Source organism: Homo sapiens, chromosome 17 (genome assembly GCF_000001405.40).
Source record: "Homo sapiens chromosome 17, GRCh38.p14 Primary Assembly".
Taxonomy (NCBI): Eukaryota; Metazoa; Chordata; class Mammalia; order Primates; family Hominidae; genus Homo; species Homo sapiens.
Genome location: NC_000017.11, coordinates 75,267,359 through 75,292,519, shown reverse-complemented (window position 1 = coordinate 75,292,519; position 25,161 = coordinate 75,267,359). Strand labels below are relative to the sequence as shown.

At 52.2% G+C, this 25,161-nt stretch overlaps 2 protein-coding genes and 1 long non-coding RNA gene across 45 annotated transcripts in view, besides 8 other annotated features; 2 read left to right on the top strand and 1 right to left on the bottom strand.

Annotated features, from left to right (window-relative positions):
- Positions 2,579-2,628: an enhancer, noted in NCBI's record as "active region_12745". NCBI's record gives its function as "activates an Ori minimal core promoter by ATAC-STARR-seq in GM12878 lymphoblastoid cells {active_cell/tissue: GM12878}" and the evidence as "EXISTENCE:reporter gene assay evidence [ECO:0000049][PMID:35858748]".
- Positions 2,669-2,718: an enhancer, noted in NCBI's record as "active region_12744". NCBI's record gives its function as "activates an Ori minimal core promoter by ATAC-STARR-seq in GM12878 lymphoblastoid cells {active_cell/tissue: GM12878}" and the evidence as "EXISTENCE:reporter gene assay evidence [ECO:0000049][PMID:35858748]".
- Positions 2,809-3,008: an enhancer, noted in NCBI's record as "active region_12743". NCBI's record gives its function as "activates an Ori minimal core promoter by ATAC-STARR-seq in GM12878 lymphoblastoid cells {active_cell/tissue: GM12878}" and the evidence as "EXISTENCE:reporter gene assay evidence [ECO:0000049][PMID:35858748]".
- SLC25A19 (solute carrier family 25 member 19) lies at positions 3,087-19,528 on the top strand. 12 transcript variants are annotated; one of them, NM_021734.5, is made up of 8 exons: positions 3,087-3,166; positions 4,059-4,132; positions 5,718-5,887; positions 6,061-6,216; positions 8,927-9,097; positions 14,185-14,368; positions 15,037-15,167; positions 18,881-19,528. In NM_021734.5, exons 3-8 carry the CDS (start codon positions 5,756-5,758, stop codon positions 19,067-19,069), a joined length of 963 nt encoding a protein of 320 aa, NP_068380.3. In that variant the 5' UTR covers positions 3,087-3,166; positions 4,059-4,132; positions 5,718-5,755; the 3' UTR covers positions 19,070-19,528. The 12 variants fall into 12 exon arrangements, with proteins under 12 accessions (NP_068380.3, XP_047292468.1, NP_001119593.1 ...); XM_047436512.1 differs by having other exon boundaries at positions 4,059-5,605; NM_001126121.2 differs by lacking the exon at positions 4,059-4,132 and adding an exon at positions 3,929-4,018.
- Positions 3,441-3,942: an enhancer, noted in NCBI's record as "OCT4-NANOG-H3K27ac hESC enhancer chr17:73284659-73285160 (GRCh37/hg19 assembly coordinates)". NCBI's record gives its function as "activates a minimal SCP1, AML or CMV promoter by ChIP-STARR-seq in naive H9 embryonic stem cells {active_cell/tissue: H9 hESC(naive)}" and the evidence as "EXISTENCE:reporter gene assay evidence [ECO:0000049][PMID:30033119]".
- MIF4GD-DT (MIF4GD divergent transcript) lies at positions 18,625-21,221 on the bottom strand. The gene has a single exon (NR_036520.1). It is a non-coding gene; the product is annotated as an MIF4GD divergent transcript (long non-coding RNA).
- Positions 19,587-20,374: an enhancer, noted in NCBI's record as "H3K4me1 hESC enhancer chr17:73268227-73269014 (GRCh37/hg19 assembly coordinates)". NCBI's record gives its function as "activates a minimal SCP1, AML or CMV promoter by ChIP-STARR-seq in naive H9 embryonic stem cells {active_cell/tissue: H9 hESC(naive)}" and the evidence as "EXISTENCE:reporter gene assay evidence [ECO:0000049][PMID:30033119]".
- Positions 19,863-19,912: a silencer, noted in NCBI's record as "silent region_8962". NCBI's record gives its function as "represses an Ori minimal core promoter by ATAC-STARR-seq in GM12878 lymphoblastoid cells {active_cell/tissue: GM12878}" and the evidence as "EXISTENCE:reporter gene assay evidence [ECO:0000049][PMID:35858748]".
- Positions 20,883-21,542: a silencer, noted in NCBI's record as "silent region_8961". NCBI's record gives its function as "represses an Ori minimal core promoter by ATAC-STARR-seq in GM12878 lymphoblastoid cells {active_cell/tissue: GM12878}" and the evidence as "EXISTENCE:reporter gene assay evidence [ECO:0000049][PMID:35858748]".
- The window catches only part of MIF4GD (MIF4G domain containing), a 5,065-nt gene continuing 1,131 nt past the window's right edge, over positions 21,228-25,161 (top strand). The window contains exons 1-6 of one of the 32 annotated variants that reach the window (NM_001242500.1): positions 21,228-21,237; positions 22,275-22,406; positions 23,072-23,173; positions 24,328-24,437; positions 24,619-24,774; positions 24,890-24,982. In NM_001242500.1, the coding sequence (NP_001229429.1) occupies positions 22,325-22,406; positions 23,072-23,173; positions 24,328-24,437; positions 24,619-24,774; positions 24,890-24,982 (543 nt within the window). In that variant the 5' untranslated portion in view covers positions 21,228-21,237; positions 22,275-22,324. Of the gene's footprint in view, positions 21,238-21,288; positions 21,624-21,797; positions 21,954-22,274; positions 22,407-23,050; positions 23,174-24,327; positions 24,438-24,618; positions 24,775-24,889; positions 25,070-25,161 lie in introns of those variants that run through there. The other 31 variants (NM_020679.4, XM_047436448.1, NM_001242498.2 and 28 more) reach the window with 31 other exon arrangements.
- Positions 21,653-21,722: a silencer, noted in NCBI's record as "silent region_8960". NCBI's record gives its function as "represses an Ori minimal core promoter by ATAC-STARR-seq in GM12878 lymphoblastoid cells {active_cell/tissue: GM12878}" and the evidence as "EXISTENCE:reporter gene assay evidence [ECO:0000049][PMID:35858748]".

Sequence of the window (25,161 nt, the reverse complement as noted above, 5' to 3'; positions counted from 1 at the left end):
TCTAATTACCAATTAGCAGAGAACACAAGGGACATAGGGGCCAGGTGTGGTGGCTCACGCCTGTAATCCCAGCACTTCGGGAGGCCAAAGCAGGCAGATCAGCTGAGGTCAGGAGTTCGAGACCAGCCTGGCCAACATGGTGAAACCTCATCTCTACTAAAAATACAAAAATTAGCTGGACATGATGGCGGGTGCCTGTAATCCCAGCTACTTGGGAGGCTGAGGCTGGAGAATCCCTTGAACCCAGGAGGCACAGGTTGCAGTGAGCCGAGATTGCACCATTGCACCACAGCCTGGACAACTGAGTGAGACTTTGTCTCAAAAACAGCAACAACAACAACAAACAAACAAACAAAAAACACAAGGGACACAGGAAGATGTGGAAACAACTCCATGGGGATGCGATCAGCAAAATCCAGACTAGGGAAAATGCCACAGCATAAACCACTTAATTTCTTTCTTTTAAAAAATGTATTATTTAGTTTTTGTAGAGATGGAGTGTCGCTATGTTTCCCAGGCTGGAGCACAGTGGCTATTCACAGGCACTATTTTTGCACACTACAGCTTTGAACTTCTGGGCTCAAGGGATCCTCCTCCCTCAGTCTCCCTAATATTGGGAATACAGGTGTGCACCCCCAGCCTGGCTCTATCTAGTTTCTTAAAAAAAAACAAATATAATAAAATAGAGAAAGAAAGGAAAATGAAAGGAAATGAAAGAAAACAAATTTCAAGTAAAAAAAAAGTAAAGTGGAGAAAAACAATAGATTTTTAAAAGGACTTCCAGTTGCAATGTTCAGTTCAGATCTCAACTCTTTTTCTTTTCTTTGAGACGGAGTCTCACTCTGTTGCCCAGGCTGGAGTGCAGTGGCACGATCTCGGCTCACTGTAACCTCTCCCTCCCAGGTTCAAGTGATCCTCCTGCCTCAGCCTCCCAAGTAGCTGGAATTACAAGCGCCTACCACCATGCCTGGCTAATTTTTGTATTTTTAGTAGAGACGCGGTTTCACATGTTGGTCAGGCTGGTCTTGAACTCCTGACCTCAAGCAATCCACCCACCTCAGCCTCCCAGTGCTGGGATTACAGGTGTGAGCCACTGCACCCAACCAAGATCTCAATTCAGACAAACATTTTTGTTTGTTTTCTGAGCTCTGTCACTTAGAAAAGCAAACTTGTGGCTGGGTATGGTGGCTGACGCTTGTAATCCCAGCACTTTGGGAGGCCGAGGCGGGCAGATCACGAGGTCAGGAGATCGAGACCACGGTGAAACCCCATCTCTACTAAAAATACAAAAAATTAGCCGGGCGTGGTGGCGGGCGCCTGTAGTCCCAGCTACTTGGAGAGGCTGAGGCAGGAGAATGGCGTGAACCCGGGAGGCGGAGCTTGCAGTGAGCCAAGATCGCGCCACTGCACTCCAGCCTGGGGGACAGAGCTAGACTCCGTCTCAAAAAAAAAAGAAAGAAAAGCAAACAACTTGTTTTAAGAAGGACATTTCAGCCAGGCACGGTGGCTCACACCTGTAATCCCAGAACCTTGGGAGGCCGAGCTGGGTGGATCACTTGAGGTCAGGAGTTCAAAACTAGCCTGGCCAACATGGTGAAACCCCGTTTCTACTAAAACTACAAAAATTAGCTGGGTATGGTGGTGCAGGCCTGTAGTCCCAGCTACTCAGGAGGCTGAAGCAGGAGAATCACCTGAACCCGGGAGGTGGAGGTTGCACCGAGCCGAGATCGTGCCACTGCATTCCAGCCTGGGTGACAGAGTGAGACTCTTGTCTCAAAAAAAAAAAAAAAGTTTGAGACCAGACTGACCAACATGGCAAAACCCCATCTCTACTAAAGATACAAAAAATTAGCTGGGCATAGTGGTGCACGCGTGTAATCCCAGCTACTCGGGAGGCTGAGGCAGGAGAATCGTGTGAACCCCAGAGGCAAAGGTTGCAGTGAGCTGAAATAGCACCATTGCACTCCAGCCTGGGCGACAAGAGCAAAACTGTCTCAAAAAAAAAAAAAAAAAAAAAAAAAAAAAAAAAAAAAAAAAAAGAAGAACATTTCTTTCTTTCAGAAAAGTGTAAACACTAATTCATATTTGATATTAAAAGTTTTTTTGGGGGGTCGGAGTGACAGTTTTGTGTGTGTGTGAAGCATAATGTATACGTATTAAAAAGGGAATGCTTGTCCTTTAAAGACACATACTGAAATATTTACTGGTGAAAACACGTGATGGTATTTACTTCAGAATAACGCTGGGCAGCGCGTGCGAGGTAGGTGCAGAAATAGAGGAAACAAGATTGCCCCATGAGTCGCGTAACTGCTGAGGTCGGAGAGCGACTCTACGCGGCTTCATCGGGTTATTCCACTTCTGTGTATCTTGAAATTTTCTACAATAAAAATGTCTTAAAATTGTGCGTCAAAATGATAACACGAATATAAAAATGCAATTAAAAAGTCAGGAGGCAATACTGTCGCGCAAAACCGTGACGCTAGTTGTGTGCGGGCGGTAGGATGAGTCATTTCCTCCTTCCTTTCTATATTTTCTGTCTATATACTTTTAATATTACTTTTATAATGAGAAATACTAAAACTCGGGGTGAGAGGGGGGGACACTCGTGTTTTTGCCTTCCCCGTCCCCGAGGGGACTGTTCTCATCTATTCTCTTCCCGACGTCCTCCAGCTTTTTGCTAGGCTTCCTGCCATCTTTACCAAGTTGAGATTATCCGGGTTCTGGCATTAACAGAGTTTGAGGAAAGCGGGTCAAGTCTACCGCGCCCTAACCTTGGACCCCGCCTGCAGGCTGACTTTCGAGTCACACGCCAGAGCACGGCGACCCCTAAGGTCGCAGCCCGGCTTCGCAAGGCACCTCCTTCTAACGCGTCGGTCGAACTCGCGCGCCCGCGAGCAGCCGGACTACATCTCCCAGGAAGCTGTGCGCCGTCCAGCTGTCCTGCCCTTGGTCGCGAAGGACTACATTACCCGGTGATATCTTGCGGGAGGCGGTTGCCAGACCTCAAGCGCACAACCATTGGTCCAGCGTCTGGCGGGGAGCTGCACGGTGATTGGCCCAGGAGCCCGCCAGTTTCGTCCGAGCTCAGTAGAGTTTTGCTGTTAAGACTGCGCGAGGAGCTAGAGAGAGCGGAGAGCGCTGAGCCGGGCCGCACCCGCCGAGCCGTGTGAGTAACCTCTACCTCCGTCCTTCTCGCCGCCCTCTCGGGGACCAGCACCCTCGCTCCTCAGGGTGGTCGGGAGGGAGCACACGCACCCGGGCGCTCACGAGAGGGCGGGGACTGTGTACACACGTGTCACACCAGACCAGAGAAGCATCTCCAGGGACACCGGCGGCCGAGCCCCGCGCACGCCCTTGAGCACCTGAGCTCCAGGGCGTCCCCTCGGACTCAAGGAGAAAAAACACACCCCGAGGCACACGTGGACACCTAGGTACCCACACGGGGACCTCTGCAGATTTGCTCAGCTGAGCCCTTGGGCACATGGGCACCCGAACACCAGGAAGAGCCTGGTATGCTCCGGTCTCCTGACAGCGATCCAGGACACCTGCCACTCGGGCTTGCTCCTCCTTTCTGCCCAGATGGGCGGGAAACACGCTGCTCAGTGTGACCTGAGCGGTCCCTGGGTAACCCCTGGAGAGGTTTTGCCTCTCAGTCGCTTGCCGCGTGTTTAAACTTCCTCATGGGCGCCTGGGGAGGAGTTCCAGGGTGGGTGAGAGGAGAAAAGGAATTGATGTCTGGGGTGGAGGCTGCCATCCTGTAGGTAGTATCTCCCCTCCTCCCCCACCCCCACCCCCACTACTACAAGTATTCAAGAACTAGGGTAATTCTGAAGGCTAGTTTTAGGGATTTTTTTTTTTTTTTTTTGCCATAACAAATTCAAACAGTATAGAATTATCGACAGGTCTACCTTCCTTTTTCCCTTCTCAGCCCTTCTCCCTGTGATCAGTTACCAACTACCTGTTGATGTGTGTGGTTACAGACTTCTTTCTATGCTTTGTACAACTCTACAGACCGTATGTAGGTATTACTGTTTTTGTTTTTTGTTTTTACAAAAAAGGAAAAAAGTACATCTCCTGGAAGGGATGCTTTTTAGCTGAGCTCTGGTGGATGAGAGGAGCTAGCCTTGAAAAAGTGAGTAGGGGCTGAGAGTGGGGCTGTATTTCAGACGTAGGGAACTGGAGGAGTAGAGGCAAGGCAATTGATAGGAGTGCTCCCCGAGTTTTCCAGGAACTGGGCAGAAGCAGTCAGACCACTCTGGTTAAATGAGGGAAGGGGAAGAGTGGTCCAGAGTGAGGCTGAAGAGGTCAGTAGGTCTGAGTCAGGGGAGCCCAGGAGCGTCATTTTCTTTTTTGTTTTGTTTTGTTTTTTTGTTTTTGAGACGGAGTCTCACTCTGTAGCCCAGGCTGGAGTGCAATGGCGTGATTTCAGCTCACTGCAACCTCTGCCTCCCAGGCTCACGTGATTCTCCCTCCTCAGCCTCCCAAGTAACTGGGATTACAGGCGCCCACCACGACACCCAGATAATTTTTGTATTTTTATTAGAGACAGGGTTTCACCATGTTGGCCAGACTGGTCTTGAACTCCTGACCTCAGGCGATCCACCCGCCTCGGCCTCCCAAAGTGCTGGGATTACAGGCGTGAGCCACGGTGCCTGGCCAGGAGCATCATTTGCTAGCGTAGCATGGCCCCACTGTGCCGGGGTGGTCTGAGGTGTGTGCAGGAGGGGAAAGGGAAAGGTGAAGGGGCTCAGGGCCTCAGGGCTCTTCCTTTGGACAGTGGGGGATTGTTAAAGAATCCCAATCCCTGTTCTCCAGCCCTGCACGTCCTTCAGTCCCTCAGCGTTACACTTGAGTGGGCTCACTCAGTGAGCAGGAGTTTGCTATAAAGTTGCCAGATGTCTTGGAAAACCAGTTGATCTCTGGGACCAACAATTGCCTATCAAGCCTGTTCATTCGATTCTCAAATATTATTAAGCACTTACCATGATGGGCTCTATTCCAGGAACCGGAAATTTACGAGTGAACAAATGAGACCAAGGTCGTGTTTCCACGGGCTTACATTCTAGTCAGGGAGAGAGACAAGAAACAAATGTACTGTATAAATAACCCATGGCGTGCCGGGCGCTGTGGCTCATGCATGTAATCTCAGCAATTCAGGAGGCTGAGGCAGGAGAATCACTTGAGGCCAGGAGTTCGAGACCAGCCAGGGCAACATTGAGACCTTATCTCTACAAAAATAAAAAACTTAGCCAGGCCTGCACCTGTTAAGTGACAGCTAATTGGGAGGCTGAGGCAAGAGAATCACTTGAGCCCAGGAGTTCAAGGCTATGGTGAGTTATGATGGCACCACTGCATTCCAGCCTGGGCAACAGAGTGAGACCCTGTCTCTAAAAAAGTAAACAAATATGCCATAGTAATAAGTACTGTAAAGAGGAATAAAACAAGTGCTATTTTATTTTATTTTTAAATTTTTGTATTTTTTGTAGAGTTGGGGTTTTGCAGTGTTGCCCAGGCTGGTCTTGAACTCCTGAGCTCAAGCAATCCACCCACCTCGGCCTCCGAAAGTGCTGGGATACAGGCATGAACCGCTGCGCCCAGTCCAAAAGTGAGTGCTATTTTAGACAGTCTAGTCAGGGAGGGCTGCTCTGAGGAGGTGATATTTGAGCAGAGACCATAAGAAACTTGCCTGGTGTTTATTCCGTATCTCTTGCATTTAGCTTGATACTGATGGACATTGTGTGGGCCAGAGGCAGGGATGGTTGGCTATGACCCCAAACCAGATGGCAGGAATAACACCAAGTTCCAGGTGGCAGTGGCTGGGTCTGTGTCTGGACTTGTTACTCGGGCGCTGATCAGTCCCTTCGACGTCATCAAGATCCGTTTCCAGGTACTCTTCCCCTTTTTCCATGCAATGGACTGGAGGACAAGTTCAGTCTTTCTTGCAAAAGCAGTTCCTAAAACTTGGAATTCTATCCAGATGAAGGGCTTGCCTTTTCTGAAAGTTCCCCTTCACATTCCAGCCCACCCCACTGTCCTGACCTTTTTTATTTTGATTCCTAGCTTCAGCATGAGCGCCTGTCTCGCAGTGACCCCAGCGCAAAGTACCATGGCATCCTCCAGGCCTCTAGGCAGATTCTGCAGGAGGAGGGTCCGACAGCTTTCTGGAAAGGACACGTCCCAGCTCAGATTCTCTCCATAGGCTATGGAGCTGTCCAAGTAGGTGGCAAGGGACCTGGCCAGACCTCTGGGGTCACGTTGCTCAGTGGAGGAGCAGAGGGAGGGTGAGGCAAGCAGGAATGCCGCGCAGGGCAGGACGGAAGAGGCAGGCCCCACGCTTCCCACCTGCCTCACCCGGGAGCCTTCCTGACCAGCAGTACCGTAGGCATTGCCCTCCGCCATGTCCCTGCGTCTATCCTGTGTGACTTAGGTGTTGCATCTTGGAGACCGATTTGATGTCATGCCTTCTGTGAGGCTTGGCGAAGGACAGCACTAATGCATTTCAGTTTTTGAAATACCACCTTCACATATGTGGTTCATCTGAACTTCACCACACCGTCATGAGGAGGGCAGGGTAGCTGTCATGTGGATCTCAGGGAGGAGAAGTCAGCTGTCCGAGGCCACACAGCCTGCACATGGCGGGGCTAGGGTTAGAACTCATGCTTCGTTCAGTGGAGCACTAGTATAGTCATAGTGCACAGCATGTGATTTTATGCAGTAGATGTGTTTAAGAACCAGCCCTGTACAGTGCAAACCATGGGCCAGGCCCCTGTTGGAAGCACTTCACATACACTCTGTCACAGCAGTCCTTAAGGTAGGGGCTGTTGTCCCTCCCATGTCATGCATGAGAAGACTGAGGTGGACAGAGCTTACATAATTAACCCAACCAAAGCCACTGGCTAGAAAATGGCAGAGCCACGACCCCCACCTAGGCAGCTAGTGCCAGAGATGTCCCTTCCTACTCTTCCTGTGACATCACAGTGACCGCCCAAGTCAGGTGCTTACTGGCTGGGCATGCCCTGCGATCCTGTCTCTGCACTTGTCTGCAAACAGATATTGCAGCATGACGAATAAATACAGCAACAGGATAGTCTCAAGAAGCCAGGCGTGGGCTGGACTCAGTGGCTCACACCTGTAATCCCAGCATCTGAGCCCGGGAGGCGGAGGCTGCAGTGAGCCACGATCATGCCACTGCACTTCAGCCTGGGCAACACAGCCAGACCCTGTCTCAAAAAAAGAAAAGAAGCCAGGCCATCTTCAGTTGGCTGAAGGAAGATCTGAGCATAGCCCTGGTATAGTGGCTCACACCTGTAATCCCATCACTTTGGGAGGCTGAGGTGGGAGGATGGCTTGAGCTCAGGAGTTTGAGACCAGCCTGGGCAACATTAGGGAGACCTCCTCTCTACTAAAAATAAAAAATAAATTAGCCAGATATGGTGGTACACACCTGTCGTCCCAGCTATTCCAGAGGCAGGAGAATAATTTGAGCTAGAGAAGTCAAGGCTGCTGTGAACTGTGATCGAGCCACTGCACTCCAGCCTGGGCAACTGAGCACGACCTTGCCTCAAAAAGCAAAACAGGGCCAAGCTCGGTGGCTCATGTGTGTAATCTCAGCCCTTTGGGAGCCCAAGGCGGGCAGATTGCTTGAGCTCAGGAGTTTGAGACCAGCCTTGGCAACATAGTGAAACCCTGGTTCTACAAAAAATACCAAAATTAGCTGGACATGGTGGCATGCGCCTGTAATCCCAGCTACTTGAGGAGCTGAGGTGAGAGGATCACTGGAGCCCAGGAGGTTGAGGCTGCAGTGAGCCGTGTTTGTGCCACTGTACTCCAGCCTGGGTGACAGAGAGACACTCTTGTCCCTAAAAAAAAAAAAAAAAAAAAAAAAAGAAAGATCTGAATGTAAGGGGGTCACCCTGTGGAACATGCTCCCAAAAGAATCTGCCCCAGAAAAGAATGATTCTCGAACAGTGCCGCCACCAGGTGCCGCCGCCAGCTGCACTGAAGGGGTCCCTGCAGGAATCAGAGCATGGCCGTCTTCCCCAGTTCTCAGAAAACTAAGTTAGCCAGTGACATTTTCTGATATACATTGTTCTCATGTATCTTTTTTATTTTTTCTTGAGACAGAGTCTCACTCTGTTGCCCAGGCTGGAGTGCAGTGGCGCAATCTCAGCTCACTGCAACCTCCGCCTCCTGGGTTCAGGCGATTCTTCTGCCTCAGCCTCCCAAGTAGCTGGGGTTACAGGCCCACGCCACCATGCCTGGCTAATTTTTGTATTTTTAGTAGAGACAGGGTTCCACCATATTGGCCAGGCTGGTCTCCAACTCCTGACCTCATGATCTGCCCACCTCGGCCTTCCAAAGTGCTGGGATTACAGGCGTGGGCCACTGCACCCAGTCTTTTTTTTGAGACCGAGTCTTGCTCTGTCGCCCGGGCTGGAGAGCGCAGTGGCATGATCTTGGCTCAGTGCAGCTCTGCCTCCCGGGTTCAAGTGATTCTCCTGCCTCAGCCCCCCAAGTACCTGGGACTACAGGTGCCCGCCACCATGCCTGACTAATTTTTGTATTTTTAGTAAAGACAGGGTTTCACTATGTTGACCCGGCTGGTCTCGAACTTGTGACCTCGTGATCTGCCCGCCTCGGCCCCCCAGAGTGCTGGGATTACAAGTGTGAGCCACTGCACCTGGCCCCCATATATCTTCTTAACCCTTTGAGTGTCTGACTCTACTCAAGTATCAAATGGCATCCGAGTTTTGCGTAGAATGTTGTATTTATCATATGCTGTCACTGCTCAAGAAGAACATTTCCTGACCTTTTCCTCGCCCCTCCACCTGGGCCCCAGCCGGGTCACGGGTGATGTATTTGGGGAGTATTTGGTCCTCACCCTCATCCTTTGGGCTGTCGGTGACTTCTTCACTTACTCTTGCAGTTCTTGTCATTTGAAATGCTGACGGAGCTGGTCCACAGAGGCAGCGTGTATGACGCCCGGGAATTCTCAGTGCACTTTGTATGTGGTGGCCTGGCTGCCTGTATGGCCACCCTCACTGTGCACCCCGTGGATGTTCTGCGCACCCGCTTTGCAGCTCAGGGTGAGCCCAAGGTGAGTGGCCAGGAGCCAGACCGGGGAAGCCCAAATAAGGAAGGTGTTGTCACAGGGGTAGCATTCTTTATTTTTTATTTATTTATTTATTTATTTTTGTTTTGTTCTGTTTTGTTTTGTTTGAGACAGAATCTCGCTCTGTCATGCAGGCTGGAGTGCAGTGGTGCGATCTTGGCTTACTGCAAGCTCCACCTCCCGAGTTCAAGCGATTCTCCTGCCTCAGCCTCCCGAGTAGCTGGGATTACAGGCACCCGCCACCACGCCTGGCTAATTTTTTTTGTATTTTTAGTAGAGACGGGGTTTCACCATGTTAGCCAGGATGGTCTCGATCTCCTGACCTCACGATCCGCCCGCCTCGGCCTCCCAAAGTGCTAGGATTACAGGCATGAGCCACTGCGCCCGGCCTATTTTTTATTTATTTATTTATTTATTTTGAGACAGAGTCTCGCTCTGTTGCCAGGCTGGAGTGCAGTGGTGCGATCTATTTTTTTCTTTTATTTGATAAGCATGTTTTTTTTAAATATATGATTTTTATTTTTATTTTTATTTTTAGTTATTTATTTATTTTTTTTGAGACAGAGTCTCACTCTGTCGCCCGGGCTGGAGTGCAGTGGCACAGTCTCGGCTACTGCAAGCTCCGCCTCCTGGGTTCACGCCATTCTCCCTCCTCAGCCTCCCGAGTAGCTGGGACTACAGGTGCCCGCCACCACGCCCAGCTAATTTTTTGTATTTTTAGTAGAGACAGGGTTTCACCAGTCACAGGATGGTCTCGATCTCCTGACCTCGTGATCCGCCTGCCTCGGCCTCCCAAAGTACTGGGATTACAGGCGTGAGCCACCGTGCCCGACCTATTTTTATTTTTATTTTTTTCAAGAGACGGAGTCTCGCTCTTATTGCCCAGGCTGGAATGCAATGGCCAGATCTCGGCTCACTGCAACCTCTGCCTCCTGATTTCAAGCAGTTCTCCTGCCTCCGCCTCCCAGTAGCTGGGATTACAGGCGCCTGCCATCATGCCCAGCTATTTTTTGTACTTTTAGTAGAGACAGAGTTTCGCCATGTTAGCAGGCTGGTCTTGAACTCCTGATCTCAGGTGATCCACCCGCCTCGGCCTCCCAAAGTGCTAGGATTACAGGCGTGAGCCACCGCACCTGGCCTATATATATATTTTTTGAGACAGTGTCTTGTTTTGTTGCCTAGGCTGCAGTGCAGTGGCATGATCACTGCTCACTGAAGCCTCGACCTCCTGGGATCAAGTGATCCTTCTGCCTCAGCCTCCCCGGTAGCTGAGACTACACCTGGCTGAGTTTTGTATTTTTTTAGAGACGGGGTTTCGTCATGTTGCCCAGTCTGGTCTTGAACTCTTGAGCTCAAGCCGTCTGCCCGCCTCGGCCTCCCAAAATGCTGGGATTACAGGCATGAGCCACCGCACTCGGCAGAGGTTGAGTTCTTGTCCTTGCAGAAAGCAAAGCTGGGAGAGGTTCGGGTTTTCAGTTTGTCTGGCAGTCAGTTTGTAAAACCCATGACTGTGGGCAGCACTGTGCGGGGTGCTCTATGTCCCTGCCTCAAAGGAGCTCACAGCCTCCCTGGAAGACAGAACCTACTGCTATGAAACAGAACAAATAATTACCCAGCAGTGGGCTGGATCAAGGACTGCCCACTTGAGAATTTATTGCTGGATTATTATGAGAGCGTCTTTGTTTTTTTGTTTGTTTGGTTGGTTGGTTTTTTGAGACAGTCTCACTTTGTTGCTCAGGCTAGAGTGCAGTGGCGCAATCTCAGCTCACTGTAACCTCTGCCTCCTGGGTTCAAGCGATTCTCCTGTCTCAGCCTCCTGAGTAGCTGGGATTACAGGCACGTGATGCCATGTCCGGCTAATTTTTATATTTTTCGTAGAGACAGGGTTTCACCATGTCGGCCAGGCTGGTCTCAAACTCTTGACTTCAGGTGATCCCCTGGCCTCTGTCTCCCAAAGTGCTGGGATTCCAGGCATGAGCCACCACGCCCGGCCAATTGCGAGTGTCTTTGGTTTCCACAAAGAATGGGCTGGTGGAAATGGGATAGACTCGAGGAAGAATTTACTGAGTGAAAACAAGGGATTAAATCCTGAAATAGACCTCCCCACCATGATCTCTGTTTCCTGGACATATTTAAGAATAGCATCATATGTATGTGTGTCTGTGTGTTCTCAACCAAGAAAGAATAATTTTATTGTTATTATTTATATATATTTTTTGAGACAGGGTCTTGATCTGTCACCCAGGCTGGAGTACAATGGCTGCAATAGCTTGCTGCAGCTTCGAACTCCTGGGCTCAAGCAATCTTCCTGCCTCAACCTCTCAAGTAGCTAAGACCACAGGTGTGTGCCATCACACCTGACTAATTTTTTATTTTTTTATTTTTTGTAGGGGCAGGGTCTCATTATGTTGCTCAGGCTCAGGCTGGTCTTGAACTCCTGGTTTTTTTTTTTTTTTTTGGTTGTTGTTTGTTTGTTTTTGAGACGGAGTATGGCTCTGTCGCCCAGTCTGGAGGCACAATCTCAGCTCACTGTGACCGCCTCCCAGATTCAAGTGATTCTCATGCCTCAGCCTCCCAAGCAGCTGGGACTACAGGTCCGCTACCATGCCCAGCTAATTTTTTTTTCAGATGAAGTCTCACTCTGTCGCTGAGGCTGCAAGCTCCACCCCCAGTTTTAAGTGATTCTCCCGCCTCAGCCTCCCAAGTAGTTGGGATTACAGGCGCCCACCACCGCGCCTGGCTAATTTTTGTATTTTTAGTAGAGACGGGGTTTTGCCATGTTGGCCAGGCTGGTCTTGAACTCCTGACCTTGTGATCCACCCATCTCTGCCTCCCAAAGTGCTAAGATTACAGGCGTGAGCCACCGCGCCTGGCCATGCCTGGCTAATTTTTATATTTTTAGTAGAGATGGGATTTTGACATGTTGGCCAGGCTGGTCTGGAACTGCTGGCCTCAAGTGATCCGCCCACCTGAGCCTCCCAAAGTGCTGGGATTACAGGCATGAGTCACCATGCCTGGGCTTTTTTTCTTTATTTTTAAGGCAGAGTCTCACTCTGTCATCCAGGCTGAAGTATAGGGGTATGATTACAGCTCACTGCAGCCTCCACCTCCTGGGGTCAAGCAATCCTCCCACCTCAGCCTCCCAAGTAGCTGGGACCATAGGCACTTGGTACCACACCTGGCTAATTTTTGTATTTTTTGTAGAGATGGAGTTTCATTCACCATGTTGCCCAGGCTGTTCTCGAACTCCTAGGCTCAAGTGATCCTCCTGCCTTGGCTTCCCAAAGTGCTGTGATTACAAGGCTGAGCCACCAGACCTGGCTTATAAACAATAATTTTTCCACTGTCTCAACTCTGCTTTAGGATACTGTTAGTGGGAAAGGAAGGATAATTTGTTTAAGAGTTTGATGTGGGCAACATGGCTCTCTACAAAATACAAAAAAATTAGCCAGGCATGGTGGTGTGCACCTGTAGTCCCAGCTACTTGGAAGATTGAGTTGAGAGGATTGCTTGAGCCTGGAGAGTGAGCCATGATTGCACCATTGCACTCCAGCCCAAACAACAAAGTGAGATATCCTGTCTCAAAAAAAACAAAGAATTGGGCTGGGCGCGATGGCTCTCGCCTGTAATCCCAGCACTTTGGGAGGCCAAGGCGGGCGGATCACAAGGTCAGGAGATCGAGATCATCCTGGCCAACATGATGAAACCCCGTCTCTACTAAAAATACAAAAATTAGTTGGGCGTGGTGTCAGGTGCCTATAATCACAGCTACTCGGGGGTCTGAGGCAGGACAATCGCTTGAACCTGGGAGGTGGGGGCTGCAGTGAGCCAAGATTGTGCCTAGGCAACTCCAGCCTAGGCAACATAGCAAGACTTCGTCTCAAAAAAAAAAAAAAAAAAAGATAATAGCATATTACCTCTAGCTTCAACTATTGACATGTTGGATTTTAGATTCTAGAATGATCAGAGAATATCTGGTCATGAAAGTGAGGGGAAGAGATGTGGTTAAAACCTACAAGACTCTCCACCTGCCTTAAGACTAGTCACAACCATATTATAAACATGATCTTGAACGATAAAAAATTTTACAACATATAAGATGTATCAAGGTTACAAAGACAGTTCTTCATGAATTATAATTTTAAAAAATACCCAGCCGCTCCCTGATTCCGATCCCCAGAGGCGACTACTTTTACTACTTATAGTTGTTTCTTTGATTATTTCCTTCCATAATTCTAAGTAACATGCTTGGCCGGGTGCAGTGGCTCATGCCTGTAATCCCAGCACTTTGGGAGGCCAAGGAGGAAGGATCACTTGAGGTCAGGAGTTCGAGACCAGTTTGGGCAACATAGCAAGACCTCCTCTCTACTTTATTTTTATTATTTATTTATTTATTTATTTATTTATTTATTTATTTATGTTTTTGAGACAGAGTCTCCGCCTGTCACCCAGGTTGGAGTGCCGTGGTACAATCTCAGCTCACTGCAACCTCCGCCTCCCAGGTTCAAGCAATTCTTGTGCCTCAGCCTCCCAAGAAGCTGGGATTACAGGCATGAGCCACCACCCCCAGCTAATTTTTGTATTTTTAGTAGAGATGGGCTTTCGCCATGTTGGCCAGGCTGGTCTCAAACTCCTGGCCTCAAGTGATCTGCCTGCCTCAGCCTCCCCAAAGTGCTGGGATTACAGGCGTGAGCCACCGCGCCTGGCCTCACCTTCCTGTTTTAACAGCTGCACTATTCTCTCGTGAGCTGGTGTCCCATAATTCACGTAACCAGCACCCACAGATGGACATCGCGTCTTTAGCTCTTCCCCAGGACGCTGCAGTGACTCCTGGACACATACTTTTGTGCACACCTGTGGATATAACAGTGGTATACATGTGTAGAAGGGGGAGTTTCTGGAAAATGCCATCCTTCGAATCTCTGTCCAGCGTTTCCCTTGACTGTCTTCCTGGCAGGAGGAGTTTCGCTCCTGGTAGCTGGTATTTTAGGCGAGGGGACAGAGCTATGATGGGCTGTTCCAGGGCTAAAACCACTTCACTGAGCTCATTCAAAGTGCGTGTGTGTGTCCAGGTCTATAATACGCTGCGCCACGCCGTGGGGACCATGTATAGGAGCGAAGGCCCCCAGGTTTTCTACAAAGGCTTGGCTCCCACCTTGATCGCCATCTTCCCCTACGCCGGGCTGCAGTTCTCTTGCTACAGCTCCTTGAAGCACCTGTACAAGTGGGCCATACCAGCCGAAGGAAAGAAAAATGGTGAGGCAGCCCTCACACGAGAGGGAGCCCTCCCACCCCAGCCACCAGAACACCCCCTTCCAAATCACAAAGGAGCTAAAGTTCTCCTGTCCGAATCAAAGACCGCGGGTCTCTGTACCTGGCTCTGTAATGTGGCAAACAAAACAACTGCAGCTGCTTGGAGAGGACTTGATTTCTTCCAGCTCCTGCCACACCCATCACTGGCATTACTGAAATTTACTTCCAGTGATTGGTCATGGTTTTCATTTTTGTCAGAAGTCCAAATTGCAAATTGCTTGTTTTTTGGTTGAGGTTCTTCAGTTGCTTTTTCCAGGCAGGGGGAGTGGGAGATGGGGGCAGGGGGAGGCTGGGGAGGGGTGGGGCATCCTGGTCCTCTCCAGCCCTGAACTGAGTCATGCTGCAGAGCCTGAGGCCCATGTTGCCTCCAGCTGGGGGACTGCGGCCTCCAACCCTTCCAGCCCGGATCACTCCACCAGAAGTGGCCGTGTCTGGCTCTTCTCCCCCTAGATTACATTCCTTTTTGGAATGGGAGGACCAGTGGAGGTCAGATAGAAGTGCGCTTGTGGGGTTTGGTTTGTGGTGGAGGATTAGCCCTGACGCCTTTTAAGTTGTCACCCATAGACTGCATTTCTCTCATCCATTCTCCCAATCCCACTTCTCTGGTTCAGAGAACCTCCAAAACCTGCTTTGTGGCAGTGGAGCTGGTGTCATCAGCAAGACCCTGACATATCCGCTGGACCTCTTCAAGAAGCGGCTACAGGTTGGAGGGTTTGAGCATGCCAGAGCTGCCTTTGGCCAGGTGAGCCGTTCACTCCCAGGCAGACAGCTCTGACCCTTGCCATCACTGGGCACATGAGGGAACCAGTAGTCACCTCCTACCCATTGGGCAACATCACCCCTGGCCATGGCCCCTTCACCTGCGTCCATTCCTTGAGATCCCTAAGCATGTGGGAAAGCTGCATGCAAGCCCTGGGTCCTGAGCACTGTGGAAGGATCTGGGCCAAGGACATACAGTGTCTGCTCTTTTTTTTTTTCTTTAAAATAGAGGCAGGGTCTCACTCTGTTTCCCAGGCTGGTCTTGAACCCTCCTGACTCCACCTCCCAAAGTGCTGGGATTACAGGTGTGAGCCACTGCACCTAGCACAATTTCTGCTCTTAAAACATATCCTGGCCGGGCGTGGTGGCTCACACCTGTAATCCCAGCACTTTGGGAGGCCAAGGTGGGTGGATCACGAGGTCAGGAGATCGAGACCATCCTGGATAACACGGTGAAAGCCCATCTCTACTAAAAAAAAAAAAAAACAAAAAAATTAGCCGGGCGTGGTGGTGGGCACGTGTAGTCCCAGCTACTCGGGAGGCTGAGGCAGGAGAATGGTGTGAACCCGGGAGGTGGAGTTTGCAGTGAGCTGAGATTGCGCCACTGCACTCCAGCCTGGGCAACAGAGCAAGACTCCATCTCAAAAAAAAATATGTCCAGAGGCTGGGCGTGGACGTGGTGGCTCACTCCTGTAATCCCAACATTTTGGGAGGCCGAGACGAGTGGATCACCTGAGGTCAGGAGTTCTAGACCAGCCTGATCAACATGGTGAAACCCCGTTTCTACTAAAAATATAAAAATTAGCTGGGTATGGTGGTGGGCGCCTGTAGTCCCAGCTACTCGGGAGGCTGAAACAGGAGAATCGCTTGAACGTGAGAGGTGGATGTTACAGGGAGCCACGATTGCACCACTGCATTGCAGCCTGGGCAACAGAGCAAGGAAGGTCCCCAAATATTAAAGCACACAGAAAAGGGGTTTTGCTGTAGCTGTTCTGGAATTGGGTGAATTTGAGCAACTAGGTTATATATATATGTATTTTTTTGTTTTTGTTTTTGTTTTGAAACGGAGTTTTGCTCTTGTTGCCCAGCCTGGAGTGCAATGGCACGATCTCGGCTCACTGCAACCTCTGCCTCCCGGGTTCAAGCAATTCTCCTGCCTCAGCCTCCCAAGTAGCTGGGATTACAAGCGCGTGCCACCACGCCCAGCTAATTTTTTGTATTTTTAGTAGAGACGGGGTTTCACCATGTTGGCCAGGCTGGTCTCGAACTCCTGACCTCAGGTGATCCACCTGCCTCGGCCTCCCAAAGTGCTGGGATTACAGGCATGAGCCACTGTGCCCAGCCATATATATATATATATTTTTTGAGACGGAGTCTCGCTCTTTTGCCCAGGCTGGAGTGCAGTGGCGTGATCTTGGCTCACTGCAGCCTGCGCCTCCCTGGTTCAAGCGATTCTCCTGCCTTGGCCTCCAAGCAGCTGGGATTACAGGCGCCCGCCACCATGTCCTAATTTTTGTATTTTTAGAAGAGACGGGGTTTCACCATATGAGACAGGGTTTCACCACATTGGCCAAGGTGGTCTTGAACTCCTGACCTCAGTTGATCCGTCCGCCTCAGCCTCTCAAAGTGCTGGGATTACAGGCATGAGCCGCCACACCTGGGCCTAAGTTGTATTTTATGTGCACTAGGAGAGTTGGCCATTAAGAGAAGCCCCGTGCTAAGTCATGTTGTAGTCTCAGTAGTCACTCCTCAGTTGCTCAGATTTTTACATACTCCCTTTCTTTTGGTCAGTGGGTAGGGTTAGGGGTAGGCTAAGGATGGGCAATTCCAGGCCTTTCCCCTCTGTATCCTGGGAACCTGAGATGCGGAGGTGTGAAAAAATATGCCTGACAATGTCAGAGGAGAGGGATGGCATGGAATGGGAGGCAAGGTAGGGAGAGAGCATTCCTTCCTTGGGGGAAGAGAAAGAGCTGGGTTTATAGTTATAATGCATTTTCTTTGTAGGAAACTTTAGAAAATTTAAGATAGATGAAAGAAAGACCAAGCCAGCTGCAGTGGATCACGCCTGTGATCCCAGCACTTTGGGAGGCCAAAATGGGAAAATCAGTTGAGGCCAGGAGCTTGAAACCAGCCTGGTCAACATAGCAAGACCCCGTCTCTACAAAATAAAAATTAAAAAATTAGCTGGGCATGGTGGTGTGTGCCTGTAGTTCCAGCTACTAGAGAGGCTGAGGCAGGAGAATTGCTTAAGCCCAGGAGTTCGAGGCTGCAGTGAGCTATGATCACACTACTGCACACCATCTTGGGCGACAGAGTGAGACTCTGTCTCAAAAAAAAAAAAAAAAAAAAAAAAAAAAAAAAAGACCAAAATCCCTTGTAATTTCACTACCACAGATAACCACATGGAACCTTTCAGTGTAGTTTTATTTCTTTTCATAAATACACATGTACATTTTAACAAAAATACGGATACACTGTATACAAGGTTTGTAACCTCCCTTTTCCACTTACCAACTTGTCCTGAAGGGAGAGTTTGTTTTCTTTTCTTTCTTTCTTTTTTTAAATGGGATATCGCTCTGTTGCCTGGGCTGGTCTCGAACTCCTGGGCTCAAGCGATCCTCCCCTCTCAGCCTCCCAAGTAGCTGGGACTGCAGGCATGCACCACTGCACCCAGCATGAAGGGACAGTTTGAATTTGGACAGGGAGCCGATGGTGAGAGCCCAGGATGGCAGAGGGAGGCCTTACTGCTAACAAAGACTAGTGTAATCCAGTTTGGCCAGAGGTGGGAAGGGCACGTGGGAGGACCAGTGGAGGTCAGATCAGGGAGGGAAATCAAGGCCAAATGGTGCAGTGCCTTAAACGGCAGATCTTGGGGTTTGGACTTGATTTCTCATGATGTCGTCACTAGGAGTTACTGCAGCTTTTGGAGGGAAGCCAGGCTTGAGGAGGGTTGTGCCTGGGGATGAATGTCTGGCAGCAGTGTGTGAGGTCAGCTGGAGAGGGTGAGGCTGGAGGCAGGGAGGCCCGGCTGAGAGCTACTGAGGGCCAGGTTCAGATCTGCTGCCCAAGGGGGATCAGGTGGGATGGGATGAAGGGTCAGAGATGCCTCTGGGAAGAGGTTCTGGAGCCATTGCTGGATCCTTTGGAGCCACAGGCAGCCGTTCTTCCTGGGCAGGAAGGAGCGCTGTCCAGCTTCTGATTTCTAGGCCTGTCATCTGTTCAGTCTTAACCCAATTACAGTAGAAAGAATGAAATTAATTTATTTGCTATTTTGAGCTGGGCATGGTTGTCCATGCCTGTAATCCCAGCACATTGGGAGGCTGAAGCAGGTGGATCACCTGAGGTCAGGAGTTCAAGACCAGCCTGGCCAACATGGCGAAACTGCATCTCTACTAAAAATACAAAAAATTAGCCAGGCGTGGTGTTGTGTGCCTGTAATCCCAGCTACTCAGGAGGCTGAGGCAGGAGAATCACTTGAACCTGGGAGGCAGAGGCTGCAGTGAGCCAAGATTGTGCCACTGCATTCCAGCCTGGGCAACAGAGTGAGACTCTGCCTCAACGAAAAAATAAAATAATTTGCTATTTTGCATTCATTTCTTTGTCCAGCAAGTACTTCTTAAGATCTGTGATGTGCCAGGGGCTGTGTTGATGGGAGCAGAGCGGGCATCCATATTTTCATCCCTTTCCTCTCCCCAGGTACGGAGATACAAGGGCCTCATGGACTGTGCCAAGCAGGTGCTGCAAAAGGAAGGCGCCCTGGGCTTCTTCAAGGGCCTGTCCCCCAGCTTGCTGAAGGCTGCCCTCTCCACAGGCTTCATGTTCTTCTCGTATGAATTCTTCTGTAATGTCTTCCACTGCATGAACAGGACAGCCAGCCAGCGCTGAGTGCAGGAAGGACCCCAGGTCTTCCCTGGAGGCAGCCTCCTGAAGGAAGGAAGATTCAGTCTCCACTGAGAGGTGCCGTCTGGCCCTTCCCTGCAGGCCAGCTGCCCCAAGCGGGGTAGCAGCCTTGAACCCACCCAGCTGGGACACCACCAGAAGGTCCAGGGCTCTCCCCATGAGAGAATCAGAGGGAATGCAGGACGTGGTCTATGGTGAGCCAACGACACAGTGAGAAGGAGCAGGAAGTTGCTGTTTCTCCTCTGACCAGCCCACACTCCAAAGGAAACAGACGCCATCCTACACCTATCAGCCCTGCCTGCCAGGAGAACAGAACACACTCCTGGTCTGGATGGGGCTGCTGCTTGAGTGCAGAGGGCTGCGGTAGGCCCTTTGCAGGAGTCAGGTCCCTACACTTGGCCTGTTTTTCCAACCTATTTAATAGACATTAAAGCTAAACACACATTCCTTATCTTACTCCATCTCCCCTGGCACATCTGCCTACTCACAAAGTATGAGGGAAAGGACTCCTGCCTTCCTCAAATCCCATGTTCTCCATAGCGGCAGCCCTTGGCAGCTCTGCTTCTAGTGCTGGGGGAGACTCCAGGCTGAGCCAGTCACTTTCTGGGCCCCGTGCCCAGACCTTCGTGTCTGCAGACACACCACCACCCAGGCTGTCCTCTCCCAGGACCGGGCTGGTCATGGCCGTGGGGCTCCATGGAAAGCAGATCCCAGCGCCCGTGCAGGAAGTGGATGGGCCATGCTGTGGGCAGGCGTGGGTGAAGGTGCAGCCTCTCCCCAGTCTACCTCACTGACTCCTCTTTCACCCAGAGCTGGGTCAGCCTTGCTGGGTGAGGAGCTATCAGCAGGACAGGTGGCATCAGCGCCCACTGCCTGCTCCTCAGTGCAGAGCATGCTGCGGGTGCATCCTCCCCTGTAGCCCCAGAAGGGCCGTGGCTCTGAAGCAGCCCACTGATGGGGATGGCAGAAGGAAGGGGCGGGCACGTAGCCTGGTGAGGGCACAGCTGGTGCCTGGGGTGTTACCAGAGCAGAGGGACACCCACAGGCGGAGAGGCAGAGGAGAAACCAGTTCCAGGCTGAGGGGAGGTCTCCAGAACATGACCTCCACCCTTCCCTCCATCTGCCCGGCCTGTAGGGTTGCTCCGACCTGGGAAGCCCTCCATTCTGCCTCCCTCTCCAGCCTTGGAAAGAGGCACCCACTGGGAGCCGGCGCTGGCCCTGGCCCTGGCGTGTGGGTCCTGGGCTCCTCCTCGCACCATCCTTCCCTGCCTCTGGTCTGGGATTTTGGGGTCTGTCTGGGCCCTGAATGCTGGGGCTTCCTGGCTCTGGGCTGCTGGTTCCCAAGGTCCAGGCTGCGGCGGGGGCCACGAGGATGCAGCTGCCTGAATGCATTTTTTATGAAATTCCGTTAAAGTTTCTTCTCTTCATCTTTCCTGCCCATTGGTTTCTTTTGCTGCAGCTGAGCGTTCTCTTCCTCCTCCGTTTTCGGTGACCACTTTGGCGGTTCTTTTAAAAGGAGGCGAGAACGCGGGCAGCGCCGGCAGCGCTCCTCCCGGTCGCGCGGCAGGAGCGGCGGCAGTTCTTCCCCCACTTCTAGGTGCCCTCCTGTCACCCAGGGCAGACGCCGGGCGGTGGGGTCCGCGCCACTTCAGGGGCATTCGCAACAACCGACGGCCGCGAGTTGCCAATGGGGCCCCTTTCTCGGGGCTGCCCCTATGACCTGAAACTCGCTTCGCCCATGTCCTCCTTGGAGCGGGAGAGGGTTGTGGCTGGCCCCGGCCCTGCAGCCCCTGCCTTCTCTACCTGGGTTGGGGGAGCGGGGAAAGTGGTGCGACCAGGGCTGATGCTGTTCCTCCTGCCACCAGGTCCCCACCACGCGCTCTGCAGGCTCTTCCCACGCCGCGCAGCCCAGCGGTGTCTCCCGGCCCAGTGCACCTGAGCTCCGGGGAGGGCTGGGTGCGGGGCCACGCGCAAGATCGAGGTGCCGGCGGGTCCGGCGTGGGCCCGGACACGGCCCAGGCGCACCGGGTGAAGGGGTGACGAGCCAAGCGAGTTCCGCTTGCGGCTGGGTGGCAGCGTCGCAGGGTCCCACGCAGGCGGCGCGGCTTCCGGGGCGGCCTGGAGGCCAGGGCAGTGCCCCGGGGGCCCGGCAGGTGGCGCGGGCGAGCCGACCCTTCCCCGGCGCCGCGCGAGGAGATGAGCTCACGGCGGGCCCCGCAGCGCCGGACGCTGGTTGCGCGCTCCCAGGCGCCGAGCGGCCCCGGGCACGCGCGCGCGCCACCGGCCCGGCAGGTGGGTCCCGGCTCCCACGCCGCCTCTCCCGCCCGCGGGACCCTGGGCCGTGGGCTCCGCAGCCCGCCCTGTGCCTCCGGGAGGGGCGTTCCGGGCGCGGGGGGAACGGCCGAGGGCTGGAGACCCTAAAGGCGCCTCCTACGGCCAGAGGGGAGCCTCCGGCGGGAGCCACCTCTCCGGGGCGCATCATCCTGCCCCCCAGTAAGAGGAAGGCTCCAGAATGGAGCTCAGGAATTAGGAGTCTCGAGTGCGTAGGGCCGGGTTACTGCCACTCGGGAGCCGATCCGACCAGCCTGTCCCAGGGAGAAGCTGGCACGGGTCTGGGGAGTTCAGGCTGCTCCCGGCAGGGGCGGCGGACAGGGCGCCTGCGTCCCCACCCACGCAGGCCGGCCCCATCCGGGGGATGCAGCGGCGGGTGTTGAGACCGAAGGACTCGGCGAAAGCCAGAAAGAGAGGGTTGGGGAGAGGGGCTCGGAGACCTGCTGGGGACAGAGTCGCACCGCTTGGAGTTCCCAGCCTGGCCCTCACCCGGCATCTTCCTGGGCCAGCAACGTCAGGCCGGTTTATTTAAGCAACTGTAACGTCCGCCCGCACACACCCTGCCCCAGTCTACTCCTGCCTCCTGCTGGGACTGGAGGGTGGGCGCTTTCCTGCTTCAGCTTCTCGCTCTTGTGTAATCCCACAAGCGAGGGATTTCTAAACTGAGCAGCAGGTGCCTGGCTGATGCCCAGTCCCCACCAGAAGCCAAGCCTGGTGGGCCTTCAGCCAACCACCGCACGCCACGGACCGCCCAGGAGTCCCTGTCCCGAGCGCGCCGTCAGCCCCGTCCAGGGCCTGCAGGACGGAACCCGCCCTGCGCTCCACACCTGAGGCCGCTCCCTTCGCCTCTTCTCCTCAGGTGCTGTCCTTATTCCCAGCCCAGTCAAGAGCTACCGGGGCTGGCTAGTCATGGGGGAGCCCAGTAGAGAGGAGTATAAAATCCAGTCCTTTGATGCAGAGACCCAGCAGCTGCTGAAGACAGCACTCAAAGGTGAGCACGGGACCCCTCCTGAGCTGGGGTCAGGAGCTACAGAGAAGGGCCCCTGTGGGCAGCACCAGAGGCTGAGCCTGGTGAATGCCTCCACCCCTCCCCTCATTCTCTGACGATAGGAGTCGGCAACGTAATTCTTGAACTGGAAGACAAGCTACATTGAGGCCATTATTTTGGAGTATGAATCACAGTCACCTCTCAGACTGTAAAGACTGTTTTAAAAGTTTAACCATAGGGCTAGGCGCAGTGGCTCATGTCTGTAGTTCCAGCACTTTGGAAAGCCAAGGTGGGCAGATTGCTTGAGTCCAGGAGTTCAAGACCAGTCCCGGAAACATGGTGTAAACCCCATCTCTACAAAAAAAAAAAAAAAAAGAAAGAAAAGAAAAATTAGCCGGGCATAGTGGCAGGCACCTGTGGTCCCAGCTACTTAAGATGCTGAGGTGGGAGGATTGATTGAGCCTGGGAGGGTGAGGGTGCCATGAGCCATGATCCTGCCACTGCACTCCAGCCTGGCTACAGAGCGAGACCCTGTCTCAAAAAAAAAAAAAAAAAAAAAAAAAAAAAAGTTTAACCATAAAAAAAAGAACACGGCTCCTGCCCTTGAAGCGCTTACATTTGAATTGCTGGTTTCTGTGCTGCCATAGCCCCGTCTCTTGAATGCACAGTTGCCTGCTTTGAGACAGAAGATGGAGAATATTCCGTTTGCCAGAGGAGCTATAGTAATTGCTCTCGCCTGATGCCTTCCCGCTGTAACACGCAGTACAGAGGTTTGTCTTCAACTAATAATTAGCAACACCCATCATGTGTCAAGCCGAGCCTGTTGGGAGGCCCTATGTGGCCCTCTCTTGTTGGGGGTTTGCATGTGTGTAGTATAAGAACACTTTTTCTTGTGAAATTGCTGTTGGAGGCATGTCCTGGTCAGTATTCCTTCCTCAACCTAGTGCCAGGAAAAGATGTGTTTCCTGAGAAACTACATTCTTACTTTGATTGGTCCCTACTAGCCACATAACCCTCCCCATTTTCTCTGACTGGGCAACCAGAAGACAAGACAGCTAAAGCTGTTTGTATGGTTACTGTCCTCTGTACGGTTTCTTTTCCCTTTTTTTTTTTTGAGACAGTTTCGCTCTTCTTGCCCAAGCTGGAGTGCAATGGCACGATCTTGGCTCACTGCAACCTCCGCCTCCCAGGTTCAAGCAATTTTCCTGCCTCAGCCTCCCAAGTAGCTGGGGTTACAGGGGCCCGCCACCGTGCCCAGCTTATTTTTTGTATTTTTGTAGAGACGGGGTTTCATCATGTTGGCCAGGCTGGTCTTGACCTCCTGATCCTGACCTCAGGTGATCCACCCGCCTCAGCCTCTCAAAGTGCTGGGATTACAGGCATGAGCCACCACACCAGGCCCTCTGTATGATTTCTTTTATTTTTTTCTTTTTTTTTTTTTTTTTGAGACGGAGTCTTGCTTTGTCGCCCAGGCTGGAGTGCAATAGCATGATCTCGGCTCACTGCAACCTCCGCCTCCCAGGTCCAAGCGATTCTCCTGCCCTAGCCTCCCAAGTAGCTTGGATGACATGAGATGACGCACGAGCCACCACACCTGGCTAATTTTTGTATTTTTGGTAGAGATGGGGTTTCACCATGTTAGCCAGGCTGGTCTCAAACTCCTGACCCCAGGTGATCCAACCACCTCGGTCTCCCAAAGCGTTGGGATTACAGGCATGAGCCACTGCGCCCGGCCATGATTTCTTATAAGTACCATGCGCTAACCAATTGCACCACTGGAGCCACTGTCCTCTGTATGATTTCTGATCTCTTTCACTTCAAGCATATGAGTGCTCTACTGTAAATATCTCAAATTCTTAGAAGCGGGTGGACACAAATGTGATAAAGCAGCAGCTCTAGACTCCCCTCCTATCTCTACCCCTAGATCCGGGTGCTGTGGACTTGGAGAAAGTGGCCAATGTGATTGTGGACCATTCTCTGCAGGACTGTGTGTTCAGCAAGGAAGCAGGACGCATGTGCTACGCCATCATTCAGGTTGGGGGTTGGGAGAGGAAAGGAAGCTGCTTTGAGGAAGGTGCTTCAGGAGTGGGCAGAAGGCCTGGCCTGCAGGACAGAGATGCACAGGGTCTAGCTCAAAGAGAGAGAGAGGCATAGGATGGGTGGGGTTACAGGGGCACCGCCCCCCACCCTTCACCTTCCTCTCCCTGGCTCACAGGCAGAGAGTAAACAAGCAGGCCAGAGTGTCTTCCGACGTGGACTCCTCAACCGGCTGCAGCAGGAGTACCAGGCTCGGGAGCAGCTGCGAGCACGCTCCCTGCAGGGCTGGGTCTGCTATGTCACCTTTATCTGCAACATCTTTGACTACCTGAGGGTGAGGCCCCGGCAGCCACCCTGGGAGGCAGACATGGCCTGTTTCCTGAGGCCCAGGTTGGACTGCTCCCCTTGGCCACTAAGCCTGGTGCTCTGACCCCTCCTCTTCCTCACAGGTGAACAACATGCCCATGATGGCCCTGGTGAACCCTGTCTATGACTGCCTCTTCCGGCTGGCCCAGCCAGACAGTTTGAGCAAGGAGGAGGAGGTGGGTGGCCCCAGCCCTGGCACAAGCACAGAAGGCTGCAGGATGGACAGTCCAGCTCAGCCGTGTGTCAGCCCACTGCTCACGGAGGTCTCTGAGGACTGTGTCACTTCTGGGGCAGGACTGTGGGGGTGTTTAAGGCCTGTCAGTTATAGGACAAGCTGCCAGGTCTGGAGTTTATC